Source organism: Homo sapiens, chromosome 5 (assembly GCF_000001405.40).
Source record: "Homo sapiens chromosome 5, GRCh38.p14 Primary Assembly".
NCBI lineage: Eukaryota > Metazoa > Chordata > Mammalia > Primates > Hominidae > Homo > Homo sapiens.
Genome location: NC_000005.10, coordinates 172,702,406 through 172,716,479, shown reverse-complemented (window position 1 = coordinate 172,716,479; position 14,074 = coordinate 172,702,406). Strand labels below are relative to the sequence as shown.

General features: G+C 50.7%; 2 annotated features.

Moving 5' to 3' along the window:
- Positions 1,263 to 1,868: an enhancer, noted in NCBI's record as "H3K4me1 hESC enhancer chr5:172141615-172142220 (GRCh37/hg19 assembly coordinates)". NCBI's record gives its function as "activates a minimal SCP1, AML or CMV promoter by ChIP-STARR-seq in naive H9 embryonic stem cells {active_cell/tissue: H9 hESC(naive)}" and the evidence as "EXISTENCE:reporter gene assay evidence [ECO:0000049][PMID:30033119]".
- Positions 3,084 to 3,691: an enhancer, noted in NCBI's record as "H3K4me1 hESC enhancer chr5:172139792-172140399 (GRCh37/hg19 assembly coordinates)". NCBI's record gives its function as "activates a minimal SCP1, AML or CMV promoter by ChIP-STARR-seq in primed H9 embryonic stem cells {active_cell/tissue: H9 hESC(primed)}" and the evidence as "EXISTENCE:reporter gene assay evidence [ECO:0000049][PMID:30033119]".

The window sequence follows — 14,074 nt, the reverse complement described above, 5'->3', positions numbered from 1 at the left end:
CAGGACCCCTCCCAGCCTCCCTGAGCATGAGCTCCTTCATCCAATGTCACAGTTGGGGGAACTGAGGCGCACAGGGTGGAGACCCTGGAGAGGTCACCTCCCCTCTTGGATGTCAGTTTCATTACCTCTAGAATCTTCCTGATGGTGATAATATACCTAAAATCTCATCGAGCAGCCCAGCCCACCTAGGACGTGCCAAATAAATGCCCACTCTCGCCATGCATTCTCTCCTGTGTCTCACCTTCTGCCTTCCTGGCAGTGCTGGGCAGAGGAGAGCGTGACTCCAGGCCCTGGCCTGGTGCTCTGGGTGATGCAGGGGGTCGACTGGAGTAGGGAAGGCAGACATTCGCACAGGTCTCCATGGCCTATGTCAACCCTCTCAAGTTTGGGGGCCTGTGGGTGAGGTTGGCAGAGCGGGCTGGGAGGCCCTCTGTGGGACAGGTCCTGTGGTGTGTGCTTGCCAGGCAGAGGGCCCTGTCTGCCACTGTTCGGAAGTCTGGTTACTGGAGAACGTGTTGCTGAAGTCAGAAAGCCCAGCGGTCTTTCCCCACCCCACCACTTTCTAGCGCAGTGATCCAGAGCCTCTGTCAAGGATCTTGAACTGCCTTCACCTCACTGAGCCTCAGGTTATCCCTCTGTAAAATGGGAGTCGCAGTCCTGATCTTTTCAGGCTCACCTGAGAGAGCAAACACATACACAAAGTCCTGAGCCCACTCTAACTGCTTGATAAATAAGATTTTGAAGGACCCCACAGACACATACCGGCCATGCCTCAACGCCTCTTCGATGCTGAGAAGCAGATGTTGTGTGATGCCGCTGTAGAATTGGGGAAACTGAGTCACCAGCCAGGAAGTGCCTGGGCTCAGGCTTCAGCCTGAGTCACAGCCCTAGTGCTGGGAAATCTCCTAGCAGCCACCTCTGGACATGCTTTGTGCCTCTGTCTACGAGCATCCTCTCCTCCCGGCCCCTCTCACTCCCTGGCCCACCAGCCAGGGGGATGCTGGCCAGAGCCCACCACAGCCTGGGCAGGCTTCATCCCTAGAATGAAGCACAAAGTAGGAGCTTACTACGCATCTGATGAGTGGGTGATGCTCTGAGATACACATTTTTAATCCTGCTTTACAGGTGGGGGATTTGGAGGGGCGTGGTGATTTGCCCAAGGCCAAACAGCTATGCTGGGGAAGGACCCTGAGCTTGGTGCCCATGGTGGCCACCAGAGAAAGCTCTGGGTGTCTGAACTCCCTCTGGGCCGGCTGTCCAGGGTCACTCTCCCAGATCAGACCTGGGATCAAAGGTGGCTCAGCAGGAAGCCCTTCCCATCCCACTTCCCCAGAACTAGGACAAGCTTTGACGTCAACACGTCCACATTCCTGCCCTGCAGCCCTGGGGCTGGGGCACTGAATTTCCTCCCTCCAGCGCTGGCATCACAAACAGGAAGCTGGGTCATGTGTGCAGGGCCAGGCCAAAGGCCTCGGGAGAAGGAGGAGGGGGCTAGTGTCCAATCCGGGCGTCAGTTCCCTTCCTGGGGCACCCAGGAGTGGGGATTGGAGGGAGTCCTGTAACACTGTGCCCACGGAGCCATGCTGTTCCTAAAGCTGCCTATAGAGGGCCTTCACAGACTGCTCTCCTCAGCTGGCTCCCACCAACTGGGGCCAATCTCACCGATTGACAGTAACAGCTATCAGGGATGGGGCCCTTCCGCCATGGACTTTACATGAGGTCTCTCATCTGATGCTCGTGAACACTACTCCCCTTATCTTCCTTTGACAGATGAGGCCACTGAGGCATTGGCAGGTTATGTCTGTTGTACAAAGTCCTGCAGCCGTGGGGATGGGGCAGGGTAGGAATTTGGACCCAGGCGGTCTGGCCCAGAGCTGGTGCCAGGAGCCCACCAGGGACAGCCTTCTCATCAGCTCAGACCCTCAGGTGCAATGTTGGAACATGCAAATCTGATTATCTTGCCTGCCTGGGATAATGCCTTTGCCCCAGGGACAAAATCTGTGCTCTGAGGATGGCATTCATTGCCAGTGATCTGCGGCTGGTCCCACCCCCAAGACCCATTTCCTGCTCTGAATGTCCCAAGCCACCTCCGATTCTCTAAACCACTCTCATTTTCTTTTTTTTCATAATGACCGTCTTCTATTCGGGAGCAGTCCAAGGATCAAAGGAGGGACAGGGTTTGTATTAGGTCACAGATGTGTTAGAATTCACACCTGGCTCTGGCTGGTCCAAAACCTCCAGAGCCTGCAGTTCTCCAATGTTAGGATGCAGAGGAATGGCTGGGGACCGGTTCAGATGGCAGCTGTCCAGGCCCCCTCCGGGGGAGGCAGGGGAGGGTCCTGGGAACCTGCATGGCCAGTGCTTGCCAACCCTCTGCAGCCCTCGGGCTGTCTGTTGGGACTTGAGTGGGCACAGAAGGTGCAAGGTATCTTCTGGGGCTTTTCCACCTGGTGGGCCCTGCCCACCCAGGGGGCTCTGGGCAGCCTGGGACACTGGCCTCACCTCTCCCATGGAGCAGCCTCACCTCTCACTCCCCTCCCTCAGGGTCCCGCCTCACTGTCCTCACAGTTGTGTTGCCCAGGCCCGAGAAAGGGCTGGTGCAGACCAGAGGTTCTCATACTTGACTGCACATCAGAATGTTCTGGAGTGCTTTTAGCCACAGGTTGCTGGGCTCAATCCCAGAGTCTCTAAATCAGGAGGTCTGGGTGGACAGGAGCTGCTGCTGCTCCAGGTACCACACTGTGAGAACCACTCATGTGGAGGCAGCTAGATGCAGGGGTGGCCAGTAGGCAGGCAAGGGGTGGGAAGGCATCACCAAGCTCCACTGGGTACAGCTGTGCCTCAGTTTCCCCAAGTGCAGACATGGAGAACAGCAATGCCTACCTACCTATGGGAGTTGCCAGGATTGTAGGCATGTGAGAGTAGGGGACCAGTATTTGTTTTTCTTTCCCACTTAGAAGTCCCCTTTCAGGCTGGCTCCATCCACGAATGTTTGCTGTGCAAACACATCCCTTCCTACCTCAGGCCCTTGGGCTCAGTTCCTACCGGGCAGCAAGGATTTCTGCCATCCCCCTGAGAGGCAGGGTGTCTGCTGGTCACAGCTGAGAAGCTGCCGGGGAAGGAGTCAAACCAGGCCTTAGTCTTTATTTGTCCACAGTGTTTTTCAGGGAGGCCACGGCGCCCACCCACTGGGCACCCGGCCCCTTCCCCTTGCTGGGGAACCCCCCTGGAGTCCACGCATCAGGCGGGCCATTTCCCGGGTTTTGGCGCCCTCTGGCGGTCAGCGAACGAAGGAACAAAGGCGAGGAAGGCAGAGAGCCTGACCCCAGGGCTTTGCAGCCCCCCATCTGCGGGGATGCATTCATTTCTTTATTCACCCATCCATTCCACAAACATTCAGTGCCACTGGGATAGGCACCGGGGACCACAATGGACGAAGCTAGACACGATGGCTGCTCTGGCCACATTCATAGTCCATCAGGAAACATATTCACGCGCCTGCACAGATGTATTAATACAGCCTTTGTTAGAAATGCGTGGAGGAAAAATTCAGGGTGCATGAAAGCATATACCCGAGGGACTGCCCGGTGGCCCAGGCAGCCAAGGACCCTGGGGGAGAGGGTTGATTGGAAGTTATGAGCAGGGGATGGGGCGAGGTTTCCTAGAGCACACAGCATGTGCAAAGGCCCTGGGCAGGGAGGAAGTCTGGTGAGTGTGAAAGCCAGAGACGCTGGATGGGAGGAGGCAGCTGTGGAACAATGTCTGGGAGGCCAGCAGGCCTGATTTCACAAGGCCTTCTCAGCCTCAGTGAGAAGATTCATTTATCTTCTTGGCACATCGGAGTGATGCCTGGTTAAGGGGGTGGTCTCTGGCTCCAGGCTGCCTGGGTTTGAGTCCTGTTTTTGCTTTGGTCAGCTGGGTGACCTTGGGCAAGTTGCTTAAGCTCTCTGTGCCTGCTTTCTCGCTTGGGTAATGGAGTGGTAACAGAGGTCCCTTCATAGGGCTTCTGTAACAATTCCATGAATCTGCACAAGCAACATGCCTGGAACAGTGCAGGTTCTTGGCAGTGCTCAGTGAGGGCTGGCAGATTTGTTATTGGTTTTTTTGTTTTTGTTTGTTTGTTTTTGAGACAGAGTCTCCCTCTGTTGCCCAGGCTGGAGTGCAGTGGCACGATCTTGGCTCACTGCAACCTCCACCTCCTGGGTTCAGTAATTCTCCTGCCTCAGCCTCCCGAGTAGCTGAGACTACAGACGTGCACCACCATGCAGGGCTAGTTTTGTATTTTTAGTAGAGACGAGGTTTCACAATGTTGGCCAGGCTGGTCTCGAACTCCTGACCTCAGGTGATCTATCTGTCTCAGCCTCCCAAAGTGCTGGGATTACAGGTGTGAGACACCACACCTGGCCGATTTGTTGTTGCTGTTATTTTTATTGGAGGGTTCTGAGCTGGGGGTGACAGGGTGAGAATCCTGGTGGCAGGAGGACTCCAGCCTCTGCATGAGACAGCTTAAAGCCGCATGGGAGCAGGGAGATCTGTTAGGGGGCTGCTGCAGCCCTCCTGAGGGGAGATGGAGGCCTTGTGGACAAGGATTCTGGTGGGCAGTAGAGAGCACATTCCAGATATAATTAGGAGGTAAAACCAGTGGCGCTTGGCTGATGGATTGAATGTGGGGGGATTAGGGAGAGACAGAGTCCAATGCAACTCCACAAACCAGGACTTCTCACCTGGAGAGAACGTGAGATGAGGACCAGGGTGTTGTTATTTGATTGATTGACAGATTGAGTAATTGATTGATGGGTGGAGGTACTGGGATTGAGGGTGGGTTTGCAGTTCCTAGGTGGTGGCTTGGAGGAGCTGTCCAGTGGCTGCAGGGTACAGTGCTCTGGAGAGTGGCCCAAGGGAGAAAGGGATTCTGGACTCAGCTGGGTTATTAAAGCTGCAAGGGGCCGGGCGCAGTGGCTCACACCTGTAATCCTAGCACGTTGGGAAGCCGAGGTGGGCGGATCACGAGGTCAGGAGTTCAAGACCAGCCTGACCAATATGGTGAAACCCCATCTCTACTAAAAATAAAATAAAAAAAAATTAGCCGGGCATGGTGGTGCGCGCCTGTAGTCCCAGCTACTCGGAGGCTGAGGCAGGAGAATTGCTTAAACCTGGGAGGTGGAGGTTGCAGTGAGCCAAGATCATGCCACTGCACTCCAGCCTGGGTGACAGAGCAAGGCTCCGTCTCAAAAAAAAAAAAAAAAAAAAACTACAGGGGAGGATGCCACTGTAAGAAAGAGTGTGCAGGTGGAGGAGGCAAGGGCTGATCCTGATCCCACCTGTGATGGCTGCTTAGATAAGGATGGGCCAGAAAGGACCCCGAAAAGTAGATTTTAAGACAAACATTACTAAGGGTAGAGACATTTCATAAGGGTAAAAATTGTAGTATACTACGAAGCTATAACAATTCTAAGTGTTTATGTTCTTAATGCCATAACTGCAAAATATATAAAGTAAAAGTCGACAGAACTAAAGGAGACATATTCAATCCACAGTCACAGGGGAGGACTTTTAACACAGCTGAAGCAGACGACAAATTTAAAAAAACAGATTTCAACCACATGATAAACAAACTTGACCTAATTCATGTATTTCAAACACCACACTCCACAATGTCAAAATATCCATTGTTCTCAAGTACACACAGAGCATTCGTGAAGATTTACCATGTGCCAGGGCAAAAACAAATTTCAAAAGATCAAACTAATACAGAGTATATTATCCAAACATTGTAGAATTATGTTAGGAACCAAAAGCCAAAAGATAATTAGAAAATCCCCAACTACTTAGAAATTAAGCAATGCAATTCTAAATAATCTGGGTCAAAAAAGAACTCAATGGAAAAGAGAAAATATTAATATTTGGAACTAAATAAAAATGGAAATAAAAACTAAATAAAAATGGAAATACAACATATAAAAAGGTATGAGATAGATGTATTAGATTACAGATTAGATTACAGATTAGATCACGGATTGGAAAGGAAGGAGGGTTGAAATAAAATTACCGAATATCTATGAGCCTGTGGGGGGTTTCATTATTTTAAAGACTGACCTATTTCTTTTTCTTTCTTTCTTTCTTTTTTTTTTCTTTTTTTAGACAGAGTCCCGCTCTGTCACCCAGGCTGGAGTGCAGTGGTGCGATCTCAGCTCGCTGCAACCTCTGCCTCCCAGGTTCAAGTGATTCTCCTGCCTCAGCTTCCTGAGTAGCTAGGATTACACGCATGTGCCACCACACCCGGTTAATTTTTTTGTATTTTTAGTAGAGACAGGGTTTCACCATGTTGGCCAGGCTGGTCTCGAACTCCTGACCTTGAGTGATCCACGTGCTTCAGCCTCCCAAAGTGTTGGGATTATAGGCGCAAGCCACTGTGCCCAGCCAGTCTGACCTACTTCTGATTTCCCCTTATTTCTAGGGAATTTCCCTTTGGGAGGGATCTCAACTGAAAATCCGGGGTGTTCAGGCGTTCCCCTCAGCCTGTGGCCAGTCCCGAAATCTGCATTTTGTCCTCATGAGACCCGTGGAAGCTCTGCTCGTCTTAGGCTTGCCACTGCTACTTGCTGCTGGGTCGCTGTTTCTGAACAGGCAGCTGCTCTCAGGGAAAGGCAGCCTCAAACACTGGCCCCGCAAGTCCTGTCTGCCTGGGTACTTCACTAATGTCTTTACCTAAATCAAAACGTATTTCATCCAAGGGCTGGGCATGGTGCCTCATGCCTGTAATCCCAGCACTTTGGGAGGCTGAGGCGAAAGGATCACTTGAGGTCAAGAATTTGAGACCAGCCTGACCAACATGGTGAAACCTCGTGTCTACTAAACATAACAAAAATTAGCTGGACGTGGCCGGGCGCGGTGGCTCACGCCTGTAATCCCAACACTTTGAGAGGCCGAGGCGGGCAGATCACGAGGTCAGGAAATCGAGACCATCCTGGCTAACACGGTGAAACCCCCGTCTCTACTAAAAATACAAAAAATTAGCCGGACATGGGGGCGGACGCCTGTAGTCCCAGCTACTCAGGAGGCTGAGGCAGGAGAATCGCTTGAATCCGGGAGGCGGAGCTTGCAGTGAGCCCAGATCACACCACTGCACTCCAGCTTGGGTGACAGAACAAGACTCCGTCTCAAAAATAAAAAATATATGTATATATTTCGTCCAGGTTCTCTAGTTGTTCTAAGTGGGAGGATTGATCTGAAACGAGTTAGTCCCCCGCCCACCACGAAGGAGACATCTTCATGTAGTCAGCGTCCTGCCACACGGGAAGTAGCTAATATAGAAAACAATAAAAGTTTACAAGGAATCAAAAAGAACACTTGAAAAAATAACGGAGATAGCTATTATGTATCTGGAGAGGAGAATTTAATATTTGAAAGACATAAATTCTCAGTAATTACCTTAGGATGTTTATGCGATTTAAATATAAAGAATAATAGGATTTGGGGAATAGGAAAATGCACAATTTCCCCATTGGAATAGAAAGTCAAATAATAAACTGGGAGGAATATTTTTAACATATATGACCAACAAAGATTTTCGTTTTTACCAACGCTCTTACTAACCAGGAAGACTCTGCTTCAAAATCAGCAAAAGACAAGGAAAGGCAATTCACAGGAAGATAGCCAATACTCAAATAATAAAATGTATATGCTTGTTAATAATCAAATAACAGTATTTTGCAAGAGCAATGAGACGCCATGTATCTAAAGTATCTAACTGATCAGAGATAAAAAATAAATAATACCCAGAATTGGTGAGATTGAAGAGAAGTGGATATGCTCACGTTGCTGGCTTACTTGTAAATTGTCTCAGTCCTCTGGGAGAGCGTTTTGGCAGCATAGGTTTATCATCTTAGACCTCTGCATAGTTTTAACCTAACAATTTCCATTCAAGGAATTTATCCTGTAGAAGCAATTGTGGGATGAGCCAAAAGATAGCTTTGGGACCCGTGTGACAGTGATGTTGGTAATTGATCATTTCTGCACACAATGAGAATGTGTGTTATATTAATAGGGGAATGCTGAATAAATTATGCAATACCCAATCAATGGAATACCATGTAAGTCTTTTTTTTTTTTCTTTTGAGACAGGGTCTCCTCGTTCTGTCGCCCAGGCTGGAGTGCAGTGGTTGCCGTCATGGCTCACTGCGGCCTTGACCTCCTGGGCTCAGGAGATCCTCCCACCTCAGCCTCCTGAGTAGATGGGACTACAGGCGTGAGCCGTTGCACCTGGCTGCAATCTTAAAATTAATGACGAGGACCTACAGCAGCAATCCAGAAAATGCCAATAACTCAGATGAAAGGAACTCTGAGGAGTAGCTGCCCCAGAGCCGCCACTCAGCTGGGGAGGCCTCGGAGTACACAGGAGTGGAGGTGGTGACAGCCCTCCCTGAGGCCCCTGACCACCCCAGCCCACCTGTCAGCCTTCATGGCCTTCCAGCAGCTTCTGGATTTCGCCCCCGCACTGCCCTGTACCACCCGCTAGCCATCCCCATCCTATCCATCTCTCTCTCTCTCTCTCTCTCCTCTTTCTCTCTCTTGCAGACACACCCACTCACATCCACACTCATCCACACTGACACTCACCCACCCACACATTCACACACACATTCACCCTCACACTCTCACACACCTACATTCATACACTAACACTGTTACTCACACCCCCCACACTCACATACACACTTGCAGTCACTTGCATACGCACGAACATTCCCACACCCTCAGCTCACGCACACTCACACATACCGCCACATCCTCATCCCCATGCTCACGCACATTTGCCCTCAGGCACTCACCCCACTCCCAGCCCACACTCCCCTCCCTGTGCAACCTGTCCCCTCTGAGTTCAGCAGGCCTTCATGCCCCACTCCTCTGAGCAGCATCTCCATCCCCTCCTCCGCCTAAAATGGGCTGTCCCCAGGACGCGGTGCCCTGGGTGTCTCAGGTGGAAGAAGTTTCCCCACACTGGGGCCCTGGGAGCTGGAGCGGATGTGCGGATTCTGGGCTCCTTCCTCTCCTTTGGGAGTTGTAGACATCTGGCTGTGCTGCTCTTTCCCAAGTCACTGGTGCCATCTGCCGGCCCCCAGGAGACCTCGTGCCTCTGCCCCGTCCCTGTATTTACAGAAGACTTGAGCTCACTGGGTGGGTGGGGGGATTTTAACCCACATGGGAGTGACCCACCCAAGTCCCCAGGCCTCACAGCTTCACCCCTTCCCCACCTGCAGCCACCTGCTCCTGCCGCTCAGCCACCTGCCCCATCACATCATTCTCCACCATTCTCAGAAGGGGCTTCATTTTTGATGTGTCAAGTCTAGGTCCCAGCTCTCGGCCACCACTTCCCACCCCTCCAGGCCACTTGCTCAGGATTCCTTGATGTCCCATCCCTGGTCCTCGCCCTCCAGCCAACTGGCCTCACCCTCTTCTCACCATCCATCCTGCCTGGCAGCCGTTATTTCCTGCTTTCCCCAGCTCAGGTCCTGGGGTCTGCCACCCATGCCTTTTTGCTTCCTCCCGCCCCCTGCTGTGCCCCCTTTCCTTCCTCTTGCTTGCCTGGCAAAGCCCTGACCCTGGATAAATCCACCCTTTCCCCTCTCCAGGGCACTCTGGAGCAGCTGAGTGTTGCTGGGTAAAATCCCACCTATCACAGTCAGCTTGGCTGCTCTCACAAAATCCCACCAACTCAGGGCTTAAACAGCAGACTGTTATTTCCTACAGCTCTGGAGGCTGGAAGTCCAAGGTCAAGGCGCTGGTGACTTGGTTCCTGGTGAGGGTTCTCTCCCTGGCTTGCAGATGGCCACTTTCTTGCTGTGTCTTCACACCATGTTGGGGAGAGGAGGAGGAGGGAGAGGGAAACGGTGGGGCGGGGGGTGTGGGGGTGGAGAGAGAGAGAGCGAGCTCTCATATCTTTTCTTGTAAAGGCATTAATTCCATCACAAGGGCTCCACCATGACCTAATTGCCTCCCAAAGGCCCCAAGTCCCAGTACCATCACATTGGGAGTTTGGGCTTCAGCATACAAATTTCGGAAGGGAGGAGACAAAAATACCACTGCCAAGCTGACTGAGTTCACTTTTAATTCAGTTTTATGATTCCCAAATGGTCTCTCATTGCCCTGCCCTCCTACCATGGTTCTCTAGAAGGTTTTCTGCTCATTCCTGAGAAGATGGTTTTCCTTTGTCTGTATATTCTCAGAACCCCTTCTTCTCCCCCACTCTCAGCTGAGGCTTCCACTCATTTATCACAGAACAATAGAAGGTCTCCAGGGGCAAGTTGCATATGCCCACCACCAAACCTACCTCCTTCCTGCATCTTCTCTCTGCCTGCCATACAGCAGCAAATGTCCTTCTCCCCACCACAGCCACCACAGCTTTTGGGCCCTGGATCTCCTCCTGCTTTCTTGGAAGCCTTGCTTGTTTGGTTTTCTCTCCCTTCCACATCACCAGTGCCTTCTTCTTTAGGTGATCCTCATCAGCACACATGCTAGAGCAAGGGCCAGCAAACTATATAGTTCATGGGCCAAATCTGGCCCACCAATTGTGTTTTTAAATAAAGTTTTATTGGAACACAGTCCCACTCATTTGCTTAGGAATTGTCTGTGGCTGCTATCAAACTACAATGATGGAATTGCATAGTTGTGCCAGTAATCATACAGCTTGCAAAGCTGAAAAACTTTACCATCTATCTCTTACAGAACAAGTTTGTTGACTTTTGTGCTAGAGCAATGGTTCTTAGTTGTGATTCAGCACTGCTCATGAGGAGGGCTTTGGAAAATGGGGGATGGCTTTTATTTATCCATTATTTTATTTTACTCATTTATTTTTTTGAGACAGGATCTCACTTGGTCACCCAGGCTGGAGTGCAGTGGTGTGATCACAGCTCAATGCAGCCTCAACCTCCTGGGCTCAAGCAATCCTCCCACCTCAGCCTCGTGAGTAGCTGGGACCACAGGAGTGCACTACCACACCCAGCTAATTTTTTATTATTTTATTTTATTTTTTGAGACAGAGTCTCACTCTGTTTCCCAAGCTGAAGTAAAGTGGTGCAATCTTGACCCATTGCAACCTCCACCTCCCAGGTTCAAGAGATTCTCCTGCCTCAACCTCCCCAGAAGCTGGGATTATAGCTGTGTGCCACCACGCCTGCCTAATTTTTTTTTGTATTTTTTAGTAGAGACGGGGTTTTACCATGTTGGCCAGCCTGGTCTTGAACTCGTGACCTCAGGTGATCCACCTGCCTAGGCCTCCCGAAGTGCTGGGACTACAAGCGTGAGCCACTGTGCCCGGACTTTTTTTTTTTTTTTTTTTTTTTTTAAAGATGAGGTCTCACTATATTGCCCAGGCTGGTCTCAAACTCCTGGCCTCAAGTGATCCCACCTTGGCCTCCCAAAGTGCTGGAATTACAAGTGTGAGCCACTGAGCCTGGCCCTACAATAGCTCTTGCCAAGCTCCCAGGACCTTCCTATTGTGAATCCAAAGGCCACATCTCTGTTCCCATCACAGCACATCTTTCAGCAGTGTCTTCACTGTTGACTTCCCTCTCCTTGAGAAACTCTTCCCTCGGCTCAGGGCCACTACACTGGCCTGGTTTCCCTGTCCCCTGCACTGGCCTCTTCTCTTCAGTATCCTTTGCTGGCTGCTCTTTCTCTATGTGATCTCAGAATCTTGGGCATCCTCAAGTGCAGTCCTGAGCTCCCATATTCTCTCCATAGGTGCTCTCTCCAATGGATCTCATACCATTTGTGATTTTCGGCACCGTCAATGTGCTGTTGACCCCCATACTTGAATCTAGATCTTCCCTCCGGCTCCAGACTCATAGTCTAGCTGCCTACACAACCCCTCCCTTAAATGTCTTACAGACATCACACCACGAATGTATCCTAAACATAACGTGTGGGTTTTCCTGTAATGCTTGCTCTCCCGCTGTCCCCTGGCACCACCATCCCACACAGGTGCTCAAGTGGGAAATGTAGGGTTCATCCTTCTTCTCTGCTCCACCATTCAGCCTGCCAGCACATTCTGTAACCGCCCAAGGGATTCACCTTGCCCGCTGCCTAGACAGAGCCGATTTGTCCAGACAGGGGAATTGCAACCGAGAAAGAGTAATCCACGCAGAGCCGGCTGTGTGGGAGACTGAAGTTTTATTATTACTCAAATCAGTCTTTCTGAAAACTTGAGGATCAGAGTTTTTAAGGATAATTTGGTGGGTAGGGGGCCAGTGAATTGGGAGTGCTGATTGGTTGGCTTGGAGATAAACTCACAGGGCGTCGAAGCTGTTCACTTCTGCTGAGTCAGTTCCGGGGTGGGGGCCACATAATTGGTTGGCAGGTCCAGGTGGGGCCATTTAGTTGTTAGAAATGCAAAAACCTAAAAAGACATCTCCAAAGGCCGATCTTAGGTTCACAATAGTAATGTTACCTTCAAGAGTAATTGGGTAAGTTGCAAATCTTAGGACCTCCGGAATAATGGCTGGGAATATTTAGAATTCCAGCCCCTCTCATCTTGACTTGGTGGCTGGTGGCCTTTCATTTGTTTTACAAGAACAGTTTAGCCTTTTGGGAAGGCCTATTATATAAACTATACACTAAATTCCTTCCCAAAGCGAGTTCGGCCTATGCCAAGGAATGAACAAGGACAGTTTCACGGTTAGAAGCAAGATGGGGTCAGTTAGGTGTGGTGTCTTTCACTGTCGTAATTTTCTCAGCTATGATTTTTGCAAAGGCAGTTTCCATTCTGTTTTCTCTGCCCCCAAAATACATCCTCCCTGCTATGGTCTGAATGTTTGTATCACCCCAAAATCCATGTTTAAATTCTACCCCACTGCCCACCATGTAATGGTGTTAGGAGATGGGGCATTTGGGAGGTGATTAGGTCATGAGTATGAAGCCCGTGTGAATGGGGTTAGTGCCCTTATAAAAGAGTCCCCAGAGAGATTCCTTGCCCCTTGCACCACGTGTGGACTCAGCGAGAAGTCACCGTCTATGAGAAAGTGGCCCTCACCAGACACGGAATCTGCTGGCACCTTGATCTTAGACTTCCCAGCCTGCAGAACTATGAGAAGTAAGTACCTGCTGTGGATAAGCTGCCCAGTCTATGGTATTCTGTCATAGCAGCCCGGATGGATAAGATGCATCCTCCATCCAGTAAGGTCTATTGGCTTCACAGCCCCTGAGCACAGACCACCTCCATCTCTGTCCTGGGCCACTGCACTAGCCCAGCACATCTCTGCTTGGCCTCCCTCACCCCAAGGTCATTATCCCAGCCTTCTTCAAAGATGGGTTGAGCACCTACCATGTGCCACATGCTAGGAATAAGAAGTGAGGGGGAGAGGGCTGCCCCTGCCCTCCCTCACCCTCTCCATTGTGAGGGGGAAACTGAACTGACAAAATGTGATAAATGCTCCAAAGAATAGAAACAGAGTGGCTGGACGCAGTGGCTCATGCCTGTAATCCCAGCACTTTGGAGGCTGAGGTGGGAGGTCCGCTTGAGACCAGAAAGTCAAGGCTGCAGTGAGCCCTGTTCTTGCCACTGCACTTCAGCCTGGACAACAGAGCAAGATCCTGTCTCAAAAACAAAACAAAACAAAAGAAGCAGTGTGCTGAGATAGACAAAGGTCTCCATAGTGTGGCTACAAAGGGTCCTTCTGAGCAAGTCACATTTCAGTTGAGACTTTTATGCAGGTCAGGCAAGGCCCTGCAGGCCCTGGTAAAGAGCTTAAAGTTTGATATGAGAATCTCTGAGGGATTTTAAGCAGAGGAATGATGGAATCTGGTTTTATGTTTTAAGAAAATCCCGGCCAGGTGCGGTGGCTCACGCCTGTAATCCCAGCACTTTGGGAGACTCAGGCGGGTGGATCACCTGAGGTCAGGAGATTGAGACCAGCCTGGCCAACATAGTGAAACCCCGTCTCTACTAAAAATACACAAATACACAAATTAGCTGGGCGTGGTGGTGGGCGCCTCTAATCCCAGTTACTCCGGAGGCTGAGGCAGGAGAATTGCTTGAGCCCAGGAGGCGGAAGTTGCAATGAGCAGAGATCATGCC